This window comes from Homo sapiens, chromosome 6, assembly GCF_000001405.40.
Source record: "Homo sapiens chromosome 6, GRCh38.p14 Primary Assembly".
NCBI classification, from domain to species: Eukaryota; Metazoa; Chordata; class Mammalia; order Primates; family Hominidae; genus Homo; species Homo sapiens.
In genome coordinates, this window is record NC_000006.12 from 37,168,382 (window position 1) to 37,184,436 (window position 16,055).

The 16,055-nt window shown below is 49.0% G+C and overlaps 1 protein-coding gene across 2 annotated transcripts, besides 7 other annotated features; it reads left to right on the forward strand.

Moving 5' to 3' along the window:
- Nucleotides 1,016-1,614: an enhancer, noted in NCBI's record as "NANOG-H3K27ac-H3K4me1 hESC enhancer chr6:37137173-37137771 (GRCh37/hg19 assembly coordinates)". NCBI's record gives its function as "activates a minimal SCP1, AML or CMV promoter by ChIP-STARR-seq in naive H9 embryonic stem cells {active_cell/tissue: H9 hESC(naive)}" and the evidence as "EXISTENCE:reporter gene assay evidence [ECO:0000049][PMID:30033119]".
- Nucleotides 1,016-2,019: a biological region, named in NCBI's record as "NANOG-H3K27ac-H3K4me1 hESC enhancer GRCh37_chr6:37137173-37137771".
- Nucleotides 1,240-2,019: a silencer, noted in NCBI's record as "silent region_17130". NCBI's record gives its function as "represses an Ori minimal core promoter by ATAC-STARR-seq in GM12878 lymphoblastoid cells {active_cell/tissue: GM12878}" and the evidence as "EXISTENCE:reporter gene assay evidence [ECO:0000049][PMID:35858748]".
- Nucleotides 1,771-7,047, forward strand: PIM1 (Pim-1 proto-oncogene, serine/threonine kinase). Of its 2 annotated transcripts, none has more exons than NM_002648.4 (6): nucleotides 1,771-2,276; nucleotides 2,392-2,498; nucleotides 2,600-2,650; nucleotides 2,744-3,110; nucleotides 4,615-4,791; nucleotides 5,553-7,047. In NM_002648.4, the coding sequence occupies exons 1-6, from the start codon at nucleotides 2,195-2,197 to the stop codon at nucleotides 5,708-5,710; spliced, it is 942 nt and encodes a 313-aa protein (NP_002639.1). In that variant the 5' UTR covers nucleotides 1,771-2,194; the 3' UTR covers nucleotides 5,711-7,047. Both variants share the same exon structure in this region, with proteins under 2 accessions (NP_002639.1, NP_001230115.1).
- Nucleotides 2,280-2,599: a silencer, noted in NCBI's record as "silent region_17131". NCBI's record gives its function as "represses an Ori minimal core promoter by ATAC-STARR-seq in GM12878 lymphoblastoid cells {active_cell/tissue: GM12878}" and the evidence as "EXISTENCE:reporter gene assay evidence [ECO:0000049][PMID:35858748]".
- Nucleotides 3,536-4,129: an enhancer, noted in NCBI's record as "NANOG-H3K27ac hESC enhancer chr6:37139693-37140286 (GRCh37/hg19 assembly coordinates)". NCBI's record gives its function as "activates a minimal SCP1, AML or CMV promoter by ChIP-STARR-seq in naive H9 embryonic stem cells {active_cell/tissue: H9 hESC(naive)}" and the evidence as "EXISTENCE:reporter gene assay evidence [ECO:0000049][PMID:30033119]".
- Nucleotides 3,789-3,888: a silencer, noted in NCBI's record as "silent region_17132". NCBI's record gives its function as "represses an Ori minimal core promoter by ATAC-STARR-seq in GM12878 lymphoblastoid cells {active_cell/tissue: GM12878}" and the evidence as "EXISTENCE:reporter gene assay evidence [ECO:0000049][PMID:35858748]".
- Nucleotides 14,889-15,102: a transcriptional cis regulatory region, noted in NCBI's record as "TAD2.SE2.HS2 sgRNA1-sgRNA3 range targeted for Mosaic-seq CRISPR perturbation". NCBI's record gives its function as "positively regulates PIM1 gene expression in K562 erythroleukemia cells {active_cell/tissue: K562}" and the evidence as "EXISTENCE:mutant phenotype evidence [ECO:0000015][PMID:28416141]".

Below are 16,055 nucleotides of genomic sequence, written 5' to 3' on the forward strand. Positions count from 1 at the left end.
ATCACATATGTTTAATGATGTCTTGTTCGGTGCCAAGGACAGTTTTAGACCCTGATAAGCGGAAAGCTTTGAATACTCAGGAGGTGAATTTGGGTCATTTCATCTCCTCTCTTAGCTGCTGTATGACCCTGTGCCATCCTATTTATGTTTCATTTTCCTATCTGCAAAAAGGGAGTAATTCTTGTTCCCTTGGGTTTTCTCCTAGTCATAAAAAATGAATGAGTTCGGCCACAGTACACAAACAAAAGGAAAATATGTAATATTTTGTAGGATAAATTCATAAAAGTTGTGGAGGATCTGGGCACTTTTATAAAGCAAGCACTGTAGAAAACTTTCAAAGGAAACATTTAAATTCACTAATGACAGCTATAGGGATCCTGATTTTTCCTTTAAATGGCAGGCACTTCAAAAAATTAAAATAGAATGTAGTTAGCTTTCAATTACTTAGGCCACTGACAATTCAATTTATGGATTATATAGTATTTTAATTTACTCATTTCACACGTCGTTATCAACTCTACATGAAGTTTAAAAGGACAAAGGATGCAAGTGGAATTGGTCAGTGTTCCGGGTTATTTCCAAGGGAGGCAGAGGGTGGGGGGTTTCCTTTGAGACAAGACTTGGGGTTGGCCAATAATTGCTGGTATTGCCTGCCTGGTAATAACAGGCTGATGAAAAGGTGACTACAACGTGAAAACTGGTTAAATCAAGCGCACCCTCCCACCCTCGTTTTAGATGAGGAATTTTCCGCCCTCACAGAAGGGGCTGAGGCAGCATCTGGCATCACAACACTAACATTTGCTTCGTGATTTCCTCTTTACCCGGCCCTTTGACACACATCCCTTCCCAGAAATCAGGATTCGCTGGTGCTTTTGCATTTCTAAAATGGGAATCCCGTGGCTGAGCTTTTAGCCGGCCGGAACGACTGAGGGCTGCATCCCTTTCCCGCAGGAGCGGGGCTCCCGCCTCCAGTTCTGTTCCAGGCCTGACTCCTCCACTCCCTCCGTGACTCATGTCCTGCGGATCCTTCGCCCCCGACGCGCCCCCCAACACACAAACCCCCAGAATCCGCCCCCAGCCTACAGCGCGACGTCAGCCCGCCCCAGCCGACTTGGAGGTCTCGGGTCTGAGTCACACAGAAAGACCACCCTCGTCGGCATCCCCACACACAGTCCGACACCCGGCGCGCCGGCCTCCCCGCCTGACACACTAACGCCCGTCGTCTCCGCGCAACTTGTTATGCTCCGGCTCGAGCCCTTGACCCAAAACCCTCAGCGAAACGGAGAGCCGCAGAGCCGGCCTCGGGCGGCCTTTGATGGCTTTGTTATTGTTTGGGTTTGAATCGATACGCCCCTCCCCATCCTTCCTCCCTCGCGGCCCTACACCCAGCTCCCGCCTCCCCTCACGCCCCGCGCCCCTCCCCCTCCATTTTGGCGCCTTTTCCTTCCCGCCACGTCGTGGCGGCGTAGAGACCATTCTGACCGCGAGAGCTGGGCGGGGCGGGGGCGGGGCGCGCCGAGTTATGCAGATCAATCGGCCTCTGGTTGGCTGGAGTAGCGCTGGCAGGGGCGGGGCCGGGGCGCGGCCACAGAGCGCGCGGGGCGGGGGCCGAGGGGAGTCGCCCAGTCCCGCCGCTTCCCCACCCCCTCTCCTCCCTCGGCCGGCCCGGCAGCCCTGCTCCCCGCCTTGGCCTCCCGGAGAGGCCCCGCCCCGTCCCCGCCCGCCGCGCCCTCCCCGCGCGCCCTCCCCGCCGGCGCGCTCCTCCCCTTTACTCCTGGCTGCGGGGCGAGCCGGGCGTCTGCTGCAGCGGCCGCGGTGGCTGAGGAGGCCCGAGAGGAGTCGGTGGCAGCGGCGGCGGCGGGACCGGCAGCAGCAGCAGCAGCAGCAGCAGCAGCAACCACTAGCCTCCTGCCCCGCGGCGCTGCCGCACGAGCCCCACGAGCCGCTCACCCCGCCGTTCTCAGCGCTGCCCGACCCCGCTGGCGCGCCCTCCCGCCGCCAGTCCCGGCAGCGCCCTCAGTTGTCCTCCGACTCGCCCTCGGCCTTCCGCGCCAGCCGCAGCCACAGCCGCAACGCCACCCGCAGCCACAGCCACAGCCACAGCCCCAGGCATAGCCTTCGGCACAGCCCCGGCTCCGGCTCCTGCGGCAGCTCCTCTGGGCACCGTCCCTGCGCCGACATCCTGGAGGTTGGGATGCTCTTGTCCAAAATCAACTCGCTTGCCCACCTGCGCGCCGCGCCCTGCAACGACCTGCACGCCACCAAGCTGGCGCCCGGTGAGAGCACCCCCCGCCTCCGGCCCGGGGATGCGGGGCGGCGGCGGGATCTCCTGGGTGGGGAGCTGGCGGCTCGCGGGCCGGCACTGAGTCCCCGTGCTTCCCCCTTTCCTAGGCAAGGAGAAGGAGCCCCTGGAGTCGCAGTACCAGGTGGGCCCGCTACTGGGCAGCGGCGGCTTCGGCTCGGTCTACTCAGGCATCCGCGTCTCCGACAACTTGCCGGTGAGTGGGCGCCCCGCGGTGGGGAGGGCGCGCCGGGCGGGGGGCGCACGGGCGTGCTTTAGCCCGGACGAGGGAACCTGACGGAGACCCTGGGCTTCCAGGTGGCCATCAAACACGTGGAGAAGGACCGGATTTCCGACTGGGGAGAGCTGGTGAGTGCCCTGCAGGAGCGACCCCCAGGATGAGTGGGTGGGGTGAGGGGCGCCCCCGACTCCCGCCCTAACGCGGCCCCCTCGCCCCTGCAGCCTAATGGCACTCGAGTGCCCATGGAAGTGGTCCTGCTGAAGAAGGTGAGCTCGGGTTTCTCCGGCGTCATTAGGCTCCTGGACTGGTTCGAGAGGCCCGACAGTTTCGTCCTGATCCTGGAGAGGCCCGAGCCGGTGCAAGATCTCTTCGACTTCATCACGGAAAGGGGAGCCCTGCAAGAGGAGCTGGCCCGCAGCTTCTTCTGGCAGGTGCTGGAGGCCGTGCGGCACTGCCACAACTGCGGGGTGCTCCACCGCGACATCAAGGACGAAAACATCCTTATCGACCTCAATCGCGGCGAGCTCAAGCTCATCGACTTCGGGTCGGGGGCGCTGCTCAAGGACACCGTCTACACGGACTTCGATGGTGAGCCAGGCCCGGGAGGGAGCTGCCCAGGTGACTCGGCCCGGCCCGGCCCAGTCCGGAGGCCTCGGCCAGTCTCCCGCGCCAGCCTTTTGTAAAGGTCATTGGGCCGCCTGGCTCGATGCTAGCCGGGGTGGGACGCAGGAGAGCCTCCCAGCGTAGTAAAGCCGGGGATTTTCAGCCAGCTGAACCTGTAATGTTTCTGGCATGATTTTATTCTTCAAGTGGAATTCAGTTAGTTCCAGGCTTTCCCGATGAATAAGAGGTTGTGGGCAACCGGCGGTAGCCCAGATTTTTCTAAAGTCTGACCCAGTTTCCCCGCCAGTAAAAGGATGGGGGCGGGGGAAGAGGTGGAAATTGATGCCGGTTTTGTAATTTTTGTTTTATTTTATAAGGGAGTTAGTTTTCTGTATGGTAGTTTTAGAGCTGCAGTTCTTAACTCCTTTCTGATCTAGGGAAGGTTAAGGAATAGGAACTATATTATTACTGGTGGCTTTTTTTTTTCTTTAGTGTTAAGGGGAGAGAGAGTCAGGAATGAATGTTGTGAAATAAGATCTGTCGCTGGTTTGAAAATTAGTTGGGTGTCTCCGCAGAGAGGATGAAAACCTATCCTAGGGAGGGGCTTGGAGCGGGTTCTTTCAGAAAAGAAGGAATGGAGAGCCTGAGATCAAAGCTGCGGAGGGTGGGTCATCATCTGAGCGGCTTAACCTAACAAACGACAGCCTTTCAAAACTTGTGACTCGGGCTTGTGGTTTATGTTTATTTGCCCTTGGAGGACGCTGGGTTGGGCTGCATTTTTTGTATTTAACAGTTAATGGCTGGCCGGGTCCTCCCATGTTTTTTCTTTCAAGTCTTTGCTGCCCCCTGGTGAGCACCAGCGGCATGGCCCCTCCTTTTTCTTTTACTACCCAAAGTTTGTAAACAGGAATCACGTGGTCTGAAACCAACCCTGCAGCTCTGTCTACCTTTCCAGTCTAGGGAGGAAAGGGTGTGGGTGTCTGCTCCTGCTTGCATCGGGTGGGGAGGAAGGCCTCCCAAAGGGCACCCTGACTTAGGATGTTGTGCAAGCATCCTTGCTTGGATCCTGTCGGCCATGAGAATCTCACCCGGGCTCCTGGGCAGTGGTGAATGCAATTTAAGGATAGTCTATGAGATACCTTTCTTGGTTGTGCAGACATGCATCCCTTCATCCTTCGCAGGCGGTCCTGCCTCACAGGGCCTCAAGTTTTGGGTCTGCGGCCAGCTGTGTTTGTTTCTTGGAGCAGTTCATAAAGAATTTCAGTTTATGGTTTGGGCTAGCAGAGAGGTGGGTAATGCTTTGGGTTGGAGAGATGCCGTAAGGTGCGCCTCCACTCTCCTTAGCCCAGAGGGAAAAATGGAGTTCACCTAGCTCCTGAGAGAAGGGATTTTTTTTTTTTTTAAAAGAAAGAGTTATATATACCACCCAGCTTCTTTGTGCTTGTTTTTGCTAAAAGTGTGTTTTCTCTTCTATTCCCTTGGCTCACAGGGACCCGAGTGTATAGCCCTCCAGAGTGGATCCGCTACCATCGCTACCATGGCAGGTCGGCGGCAGTCTGGTCCCTGGGGATCCTGCTGTATGATATGGTGTGTGGAGATATTCCTTTCGAGCATGACGAAGAGATCATCAGGGGCCAGGTTTTCTTCAGGCAGAGGGTCTCTTCAGGTAACTGATGGAAACCCCTGGCCATGGGGTTATTGGTCTTAATGGGGCTATTAGTCTTCATGGGACAGTCTTTGAAATTCTGGAGAGCTTCACTCTCCAGTAGATTCTGTCACCCTTGGCTTAGAATTGTAGGTGAGTGATTTACACTTGAGCTGGCCTCATAAATCACATGGTTTGCACTTGAGCTTTCCTTGGGAGGTCAGAGGAAGGCATGTGTGAGCATATTAAGAAGAAAAGACAATCTGGCTTCTCCAAAAACTTTTTTAAAGGTACCAACAGAAACCTGATAATTCCTGGCTGTTTTGCCAGGGAGTAAAAAGTTAAAAGCTCTTTTAGCATCTTCTTTAAGGCAGCAGCTCCAAATATTTTGGTACCAGTGACCTCACTGTGGGTGGTGTTCGTGTTTGTAAGTTGGTAGGTGAATTGAATCATTTCATCATGCTCAGTGGTGTCTCATCAAAATCTCTTGTCATCATCCTTCCTATTTCTGGTGAGTGGGTGTTGTGGGAAAGGCCCCCACTATTGAAGTTTGAAAACCACAGGTTTAAGAGGGGAGTCAGTTTTTAGCTGAAAGCAGACTGGAGGACCCAGATATTAGTCAATACCTTCCTATTGAAGGGTACCCAGCACAGTGTTCTAGAAAATGCTTGGCCTCCCTGGGACCCCAGACTTGTGGGCCTCTGAGAAGCAAATGGGGAAGACCTTTGCAGTGTAAAAACAAGTTGAGTCATTCATAACCTCGTCTATCCTCCTTTCTGCAGAATGTCAGCATCTCATTAGATGGTGCTTGGCCCTGAGACCATCAGATAGGCCAACCTTCGAAGAAATCCAGAACCATCCATGGATGCAAGATGTTCTCCTGCCCCAGGAAACTGCTGAGATCCACCTCCACAGCCTGTCGCCGGGGCCCAGCAAATAGCAGCCTTTCTGGCAGGTCCTCCCCTCTCTTGTCAGATGCCCGAGGGAGGGGAAGCTTCTGTCTCCAGCTTCCCGAGTACCAGTGACACGTCTCGCCAAGCAGGACAGTGCTTGATACAGGAACAACATTTACAACTCATTCCAGATCCCAGGCCCCTGGAGGCTGCCTCCCAACAGTGGGGAAGAGTGACTCTCCAGGGGTCCTAGGCCTCAACTCCTCCCATAGATACTCTCTTCTTCTCATAGGTGTCCAGCATTGCTGGACTCTGAAATATCCCGGGGGTGGGGGGTGGGGGTGGGTCAGAACCCTGCCATGGAACTGTTTCCTTCATCATGAGTTCTGCTGAATGCCGCGATGGGTCAGGTAGGGGGGAAACAGGTTGGGATGGGATAGGACTAGCACCATTTTAAGTCCCTGTCACCTCTTCCGACTCTTTCTGAGTGCCTTCTGTGGGGACTCCGGCTGTGCTGGGAGAAATACTTGAACTTGCCTCTTTTACCTGCTGCTTCTCCAAAAATCTGCCTGGGTTTTGTTCCCTATTTTTCTCTCCTGTCCTCCCTCACCCCCTCCTTCATATGAAAGGTGCCATGGAAGAGGCTACAGGGCCAAACGCTGAGCCACCTGCCCTTTTTTCTGCCTCCTTTAGTAAAACTCCGAGTGAACTGGTCTTCCTTTTTGGTTTTTACTTAACTGTTTCAAAGCCAAGACCTCACACACACAAAAAATGCACAAACAATGCAATCAACAGAAAAGCTGTAAATGTGTGTACAGTTGGCATGGTAGTATACAAAAAGATTGTAGTGGATCTAATTTTTAAGAAATTTTGCCTTTAAGTTATTTTACCTGTTTTTGTTTCTTGTTTTGAAAGATGCGCATTCTAACCTGGAGGTCAATGTTATGTATTTATTTATTTATTTATTTGGTTCCCTTCCTATTCCAAGCTTCCATAGCTGCTGCCCTAGTTTTCTTTCCTCCTTTCCTCCTCTGACTTGGGGACCTTTTGGGGGAGGGCTGCGACGCTTGCTCTGTTTGTGGGGTGACGGGACTCAGGCGGGACAGTGCTGCAGCTCCCTGGCTTCTGTGGGGCCCCTCACCTACTTACCCAGGTGGGTCCCGGCTCTGTGGGTGATGGGGAGGGGCATTGCTGACTGTGTATATAGGATAATTATGAAAAGCAGTTCTGGATGGTGTGCCTTCCAGATCCTCTCTGGGGCTGTGTTTTGAGCAGCAGGTAGCCTGCTGGTTTTATCTGAGTGAAATACTGTACAGGGGAATAAAAGAGATCTTATTTTTTTTTTTATACTTGGCGTTTTTTGAATAAAAACCTTTTGTCTTAACTCGTGGCTTCTAATCGTCTGTGCGGAGGCATTGCTAACCTGCATTTATTGAGCATTTGGTAAGTGCCAAAGAATTGTAGGAGAAAGGAATTCTCAGCCTAAATCTGGCTTCCTTCAACATTGGGATTTCTAGGATAGTCATCTTCCTGAAACGAATGTATGGTCAAGGGGTAGGACCAGTATTGTCAAAATTTGGGCAATATCTGGCATGGGAGGCCTAATAAAATAACCTTTTCCAGATTACAATTTTAAAGCTATGCAAATAGGATAGATGTGACAATTTTCAAGTGTTCAATAGCCATTTATGGCTAGTGGCCACCTCATATAAAACATCATTGCAGAAAGTTCTATTGGATGGGGCTGATCTAGAGATAACAAATACATACCTATTACCAAACTAACCCTTGAAGCTTTTATCAGTTGTCTGCCACTGATAGTAAAACATTTTGAGCATGTCCCCTTGGTACACGTGAAGTTTATTGAAAAACTATTGCCTCTATTACTCTCGGTTCCTGATTCAAGTTTCCTTCACCTTTAGTGTGAGGTTTAGTTTCTTTTCGAGACTGAGTCTCTGTCAACCAGGCTGGACCAGCTGGCGTGCCACTGCCAGTGGCACGATCTCGGCTCACTGCAACTTTCACTTCCCGGGTTCAAGCAGTTCTACCTCAGCCTCCTGAGTAGCTGGGATTACAGGCGCCCGCTGCCACGCCCAGCTAATTTTTGTATTTTAGTAGAGACAGGGTTTTACCATGTTGGCCAGGCTGGTCTCGAGCTCCTTGACCTTATGATCCGCCTGCTTCAGCCACCCAAAGTGCTAGGATTACAGGTGTGAGCCATCGTGCTCCGCAGCCTTTTTTTTTTTTTTTTTGAGATGGAGTGTCGCTCTGTTGCCCAGGCTGGGGTGCAGTGGTGCAATCTAGGCTCATCGCAAGCTCCGCCTCCCGGGTTTTAAGTGATTATCCTGTCTCAGCCTCCCGAGAAGTTGGGATTACAGGCATGTGCCACCAGGCCAGCTAATTTTGTATTAGTAGATACGGGGTTTCGCCATGTTGGCCAGGCTGGTTTGGAACTCCTGACTTCAAGTGATCTGCCTGCCTTGGCCTCCCAAAGTGCTGGGATTACAGGCGTGGGCCACCGCGCCTGGCCTAGTCTTTAACAATAGTATAATTTATTATGCAGCATAGAAAAAATAATAGAACAGTGTGGTGACACTAAAGTCGTGACCAGATAAGACCCAGTCTACAAAAAATAAGTGAAAATTAGCTGAGCGTGGTGGCATACACCTGTAGTCCTACCTATGCAGGAGGCTGAGGCAGGAGGATCGCTTGAACCCAGGAGCTCCAAGGTTGCAGTGAGTTATGATCACGCTATTGCACTCCAGCCTGGGCAACAGGTAACCCCACTTAAAACACACACACACACACACACACACACACACACAATAGTGGATGGGTAGAAATGTGAGTTTGACTTAAGGTTTCCCCCTCTGATGTGTTTGACAAAGGGCTAATATTGGGAGTAGGTGAAATGTTAGCTCTGCCATTTTCTTACTGCTTATTCTTGAATAATTAGTATTTTTAGTCCATGGTTTCTTTGCAGGGATCTGTTTAATAGGCCCTTTGTCCATTTTGTGTGAGTTTAGTTAAACTGGATGGCAAGACCCATGAATCCACTTTGTACGTGTGGCCTGAATACATCCTGATATTTTGAAAGCACACTGGAGTGCCATTGTCAATTCATATATTAAGTATTGGTAAATGTTGGTTTCTTGTTTCTTTATAAATATCCACAGTTATAATACTCCCTCCCTGGGGGTCATCATGCTCCCAACCCTCAATGCATCCACACACCCTTTGGACACTGGCCCATATGCACCCTCGAGGTTGCTGGAGGGTGCAGACTATAATACCCCTCACTCCTCATTGGGTTCTGGTGTATGTCTACCCTTAAGCTTAGACTAGATCCCATACCTCAGCTCAGCCCCCATGTGGCTATAAAGAGGAAGGAAGGATGTCTTGGTTCTGGGGGGCTGATTTTCTGAGGTTCCCCTTTTCTCTAATCTCTCCCATCCCCCACACAACATACACACACTACCAACATCTTGGAGCCTGAGGGTTGCATGCTTCGTCCTTTCCAGTAAAGCTGACACTTGGATAATTAAAAGTTGCCGCAAACTATTAACGAAATCAGGCAAAGCCCCACCCTTCTCTTTCTCGAAGTGAGTTTCTGGCAGTTTCCCCATCTAATGAGACTGCTGCGGGGGAATAGAAGAAAGTATCTCTGAATAAAGACAGATCGTGCTCCTGTTGGATGCAAGAGATTAAGAGTTTTAGGGGGAGGGTGAAAGGTCATATTTAATCTCTTCTCAGGGGCAGTTTGACATCTAGCGTGGAAAGGGAATCAGATAACCAATAAGTCTGCGGGGGATCAATGTCATGGCCAGAGGAATATAGAGAGCAATGGTTAAAAGCATTGACTTGGGAATCAGCCTTGAGCTTACTTATCTAGAAACCTTGGGCAAGTTATTACACCCTCTAAAACTAATCTCTAAACAGAGATACTCCTGGATTGGATTATTAGGAGACTGGGTTAAATAACAGATATACTTACATACAGAAAAACTACTATCTCCCGCTTACGGATGCATACACATGTAGCAAAAGTACAAAGAAGTACAGGGTGGGGTAGGGTGTGGTAGTTCACACCCATAATCCCAGCACTTTGGGAAGACAAGGAGGGATGATCACTTGAGCCCAGGAGTTTGAGACTAGCCTGGCCAACATGACAAAACCCCATCTCTACAAAAAAATAGAAGCATTAGCCGGACGTGGTGGTGCGTGCCGGTAGTCCCAGCTACTTGGGAGGCTGAGGTGGGAGGATCAATTGAGTCCGGGAGATGGAGGCTGCAGTGAACCAAGATGGCACCACAACATTCTAGCTTGGGTGAAAGAGCGAGACCCTGTCTCAAAAAAACAAAACAAAACAAAACAAACAAAAAAGTACAGGGTGATAATAAGTTTCCAGAGTCAGGGAAGTGGTTATTACCTTTGGGGAGAAGGGAGGGAGGTTGTGATTTGTGGAAAGAGACCTTCAACTATTTTGGCAATGCTTTATTCCATAAACTAGATGGTATGAGTAAGGTGTTTGTATTATTCTTTTCAACTTTTGGGTTGTTTTAAATGTTTTATGATAAACTTTATTTTTAAAAATTTTTCTCTGGCTGGGCGCGGTGGCTCACACCTGTAATCCCAGCACTTTGGGAGGCCGAGGCAGGCGGATCACAAGGTCAGGAGATCGACACCATCCTGGCTAACACAGTGAAACCCCATCTCTACTAAAAATACAAAAACTTAGCCAGGCATGGTGGCATGTGCCCATAGTCCCAGCTACCCAGGAGGCTGAGGCAAGAGAATCGCTTGAACCCAGGAGGCGGAGGTTGCAGTGAGCCAAGATAGCTAGCCACTGCACTCCAGCCTGGGCGACAGAGTGAGACTCCGTCTCAAAAACAAAAAAAATTTTTTTTCTTTGTTCTTTCTTTTTAAACATTTATTTATTTATTTTAGCTGGGAGTGGTGGCTCACGCCTGTAATCCCAGCACTTTAGGAGGCTGAGGCGGGTGGATCATCTGAGGTCAGCAGTTCAAGACCAGCCTGACCAACATGGTGAAACCCAGTCTCTACCAAAAATACAAAATTAGCTGGGCATGGTGGTGCATGTCTATAGTCCCAGCTACTCAGGAGGCTGAGGCAGGAGAATCACTTGAATCCAGGAGGTGGAGGCTGCAGTGAGCCACGATCACGTATAGCCTGGGCGACAGAGCGAAACTCTGTCTCAAAAAAAATATATATATTTATATATATAATATATAATATATATTATATATTATATTATATATTATACATAAATTATATATTATATATATAATATATAATATATAATATATATTATATATTATATATTATATATTATACATAAAATATATATAATATATATTATATATTATATTATATATTATATATAAAATATATATATAATATATATAATATTATTTATTTATTTTGAGACAGGGTCTCACTCTGTCACCCAGACTGGAGTGCAGTGGCATAATCTCGGTTCACTGCAACCTCCACTTCCTGAGTTCAAGCAATTCTCGTGCCTCAGCCTCCCAAGTAGCTGAGACTACAAGCGTGTGCTACCACACCTGTCTACTTTTTGTATTGTTAGTAGAGATGGGGTTTCACCATGTTTGCCAGGCTAGTCTTGAACTCCTGATCTCAAGTAATCCACCTGCCTTGGCTTCCCAAAGTGCTGGGATTACAGGTGTGAGCCACTGCGCCCGGTCCATTTTTTTTTTTTCTTTTGAGAGACAGATTTTTGCTCTGTATCCCAGGCTGGAGTGCAGAGGCATGAACTTGGCTCACGGCACCCAGGTTCAAGCGATTCCCCTGCCTCAGCCTCCCAAGTAGCTGGGATTACAGGGACCTGCCGCCATGCTTGGCTAATTTTTGTATTTTTAGTAGAGATGGGGTTTCATCTTCTTGGCCAGGCTGGTGTCAAACTCCTGACCTCAGGTGATCCGTCCACCTCGGCCTCCCAAAGTGCTGGGATTACAGGCACGAGCCACTGTCCTCAGCCTTTCACTTTTTCTTTTAATTGAGACAGGGTCTCACTACGTTGCTCAGGCTAATCTTTAATTCCTGGCCTCAAGTGATCCTCCCTCCTTGGCCTCCCAAAGTGCTGTGATTACAGGTGTGGAATATCATGCCCAGCCTATGATAAGCTTTTAAAAGTGATGAATATATTTGTGCGTATCATGTAGGAGGCAGCAGATGGAGTTATTACTGCCCTTGGCTGAGGGGATCTGGGAAGGCTTCAAAGAGGAGGTGGCATTTCACCTGGATTTTGAAGGATGGAGCCTTAGCCTGCTTCCCTGTAAAATAGGCACCAAACATGCAGATGGAGCAGAGAAATCTGGATGTGCTAAATGTTTTTCCCCCACTAGACCAGGAATCAGCAAACTATGGCCTGCTGCCTGAACTGGTCCCTGTACAGTTTTTGTACGGCTTGCAAGCTAAGCCTAGATTTTACATTTTTAAGTAGTTGAAAATCAATCAAATGAAGAATAATATGTTGTGATATGTAAAAATTATATAATACTTGGCTGGGTATAGTGGCTCATGCTTATAATCCCAGCACTTTGGGAGGCCGAGGTGGGAGGATTGCTTGAGGCCAGGAGTTCTGGACCAGCTTGGGCAACCTAGCAAGACTTCCATCTCTACAAAAAATAAATAAAAATTAGTCAGGCATGATGGCCTAGCTACTTGGGAGGCTGAGACAGGAGGATCACGTGAGCCCAGGAGTTTGAGGTTACAGTGAGCTATGATCTCACCACTGCGCTCCAGCACTCCAGCCTGGTTGACAGAGCAAGACTCTATCTCTAAAAGAAAAAGAAAAAAAAAGAGGCCAGGTATGGTGGCTCATACCTGTAATCCCAGCACTTTGGGAGGCTTAGGTGGGCGGATCACCTGAGATCAGGAGTTTGAGACCAGCCTGGCCAACATGGTGAGACCCTGTATCTACAAAATACAAAAATTAGCCCAGTGTGTTGGTGCCTGCCTGTAATCCCAGCTACCAGGGAGGCTGAGGCAGGAGAATTGCTTAAACCCATAAGGTGGAGCTTGCAGTGAGCCAAGATTTCTCCATTGCACGCCAGCCTGGGCAACAGAGTGAGACTGCATCTCACAAAAAAAAAAAAAAATATATATATATATATATATATATATACACACACACACACATTTGTACACACATATGCAACTCAATTGTCTGTGTTCATAAATAAATCTTGTCCATTTACATATTGTCTATGGCTGCATTTGTGATACGATGGCAGAGTTGAGTAGTTAAGACACTCAGTATGGCTGGCGAAGCTGAAAACATTTACTATCTTGTCCTTTACAGAGAAATTTGCTAATCTCTACACTAGATTATGGTCCCATTGACTCATTTTTTGTTGTTGTTGTTTTTTTGGGGTTTTTTTTTTTGAGACAGGGTCTTACTCCGTCATCCAGGCTGGAGTGCAGTGGCTCGATCAGGGCTCACTGCAGCCTTGACTTTCCAGGCTTAAGCAATCCTCCCACCTCAGTCTCCTGAGTAGCTGTGACTACAGGTGGGCCCCACTGTGCCCAGCTAATTTGTTTTTTTGTTTGTTTGTCTGTTTGTCTTGAGACAGGGTCTTGCAATGTTGCCCAGGCTGGAGTGCAGTGGTGCGATCACGACACACTGCAACCTCAACCTCCTGAGCTCAAGTAATCCTCTTGCCACTGCCTCCCAAAGTGCTGGGATTACAGGCATGAGCCATTGTGCCTGGTCTGAACTACATCTTTGATAACTCTTTTTTTTTTTCTTTTTGAGATGGAGTCTCGCTCTGTCCCCAGGCTGGAGTGCAGTGGCATGATCTCGGCTCCACCTCCTGGTTCAAACATTCTCCTGCCTCAGCCTCCCAAGTAGCTGGGATTACAGGCGCCTGCCACCACGCCTGGCTAATTTTTGTTTTTGTTTTGTTTTGTTTTGTTTTGAGATGGAGTCTCACTCTGTCACCCAGGTTGGAGTGCAGTGGCACCATCTCGGCTCACTGCAAGTTCAGCCTCCCGGGTTCATGCCATTCTCCTGCCTCAGCCTCCCAAGTAGCTGGGACTACAGGCACCCACCACCACGCCCGGCTAATTTTTTTTTTTTTTTTTTTTGGTATTTTTAGTAGAGACGGAGTTTCACCATGTTGTCCAGGATGGTCTCAATCTTTTGATCTTGTGATCTGCCCGCCTTGGCCTCCCAAAGTGCTGGGATTACAGGCATGAGCCACCACGCCCGGCCTGATAACTCTTAACCTAGTGCCAGGCATGTAGTAGTTCCTTAGTGATAATAGCTAACATACAGTACCTACTATGTGCCCAGCACTATTCTGCATGCTTTGCATGCATTAACTTATTTATCCTTAAAACAACTCTATGACACTATTGGAAAGTACAGGGGGAAACACTGTTATTTGTTTTATTTTATTTTATTTTATTTTGTATTTTTATTTATTTATTTTTTTTTGAGACAGTCTCGCTGTATTGCCCAGGCTGGAGTGTAATGGCGCGATCTCAGCTCACTGAAATTTCTGCCTCCTGGGTTCAAGCGATTCTCCTGCCTCAGCCTTCTGAGTGGCTGGGATTACAGGTATGTGCTATCACGCCCAGCTAATTTTTGTATTTTTTTTTAGTAGAGACTGGGTTTTGCCATGTTGGCCAGGCTGGTCTCAAACTCCTGACCTCGGGTGATCCACCCGCCTCAGCCTCCCAAAGTGCTAGGATTACAGGCATGAGCCACTCCGCTCTGCCTATTTTATTGTTTTAGAGATGAGGGTCTTGTCATGTTGCCCAGGCTGGCCTCAAAATCTTGGCCTCAAGCAATACTCCTGCCTCAGCCTCCTGAGTAGCTGACTGTACAGGTACATGCCACCTAGCCCGGCTTGATGCAGTTATGTATCCACATTTCACAGATGGGGATAACAGATGTGCAGAGCAGTAAATTTCATGTCAAAGGCCACATATTAGGTAGTGGTCAGGTCAGAATTTGGACCTAGGCCATCTGTGGTTCTATGGTCATCCAGACTCCGCGATCTTGGCTCACTGCAAACATTTGTGTGGATTAGCCACCTCAAGGTCCCTTCAGGGCCCAGGATCTGGAGGTGAGAATGGTTCTTCCCCAGACTCCAGAGTTGGGTAAGCCATTCTGTTCTGTGGAAATAGTCATTATGAACTCCTGTAAACTATCTTTCACTTGGGCCTGGCTGGGGAGGAAGAGTTGGAGGCTGAAAAGGGAGAAGAAAGGGGACCCGGGGGGGTTGGGGTGGGGCAGGGGCACATTTCTTGTAAATGTTGCTCAGCTCCTTCAACTGCTGTGCTGGTTCTTGGAAACCTTCACCACAAAAGACCTATCAAGAACAGTGTTAAAAAAGATATGGCCTCATCCCCCAGTTCATTTCCTGCCCAGCCTTGCACTACTAACCCCGATTGCCAAGAGCAAGGTTGCAGTGTCCCCTCAGCAGTGCTGTGGGAGGAAGTGCAAAAATAAGCAGAACTAGGGGCAAGACCAGAGGACTGTCTTTATTTTTATTTATTATAACAGGACATCCGATGTACAGAAGTGGATTCATCATAATCCTTGGCTCATCGTATATTCTCATCCTTGGTCCAAGAATGGTCTTTTGTTTATATATATATATATATATATATATATATATATATATTTTTAAATCGGAGTCTTGTCACCCAGGCTGGTATGCAATGACGTGATCTCGGCTCACTGTAACCTTCACCTCCCAGGTTCAAGTAATTCTCCTGGTTCAGCCTTCCAAGTAGCTGGGATTACAGGCGCCTGCCACCACGCCCGGCTAATTTTTTGTATTTTTAGTAGAGACAGGTTTCGCAATGTTGGCCAGGCTGATCTCGAACTCCTGACCTCAGGTGATCCACCTGCCTCGGCCTCCCAAAGTGCTGGGATTACAGGCGTTAGCCACCGCATCTGGCCCGTTATTATTATATTTTATCATACTGGGTAGTGAATCCACCACCCAGCTCAAAAAACAGAATATTAACAATGACATCCATCTATCTATATGATCCTCTCTTAGTCCATTTCTTACCTCCCCCAGATACAACCCACTGTCCTAAATTTTGTGTTTGGCATTCTCTTACTTTATATTTTATTTATTTATTTTGAGACAGAGTCTCACTCTTGCCCAGGCTGGAGTGCAGTGGCATGATCTTGGCTCACTGCACCCTCATCTTCCTGGGTTCAAGCGATTCTCCTGCCTCGGTCTCCGAAGTAGCTGAGATTACAGGCATGTGCCACCATGATTTTTGTATGTTTAGTAGAGACAGGGTTTCACCATGTTGGTCAGGCTGGTCTTGAACTCCTGTCCTCAGGTGATCTGCTCGCCTCAGCCTCCCAAATTGCTGGGA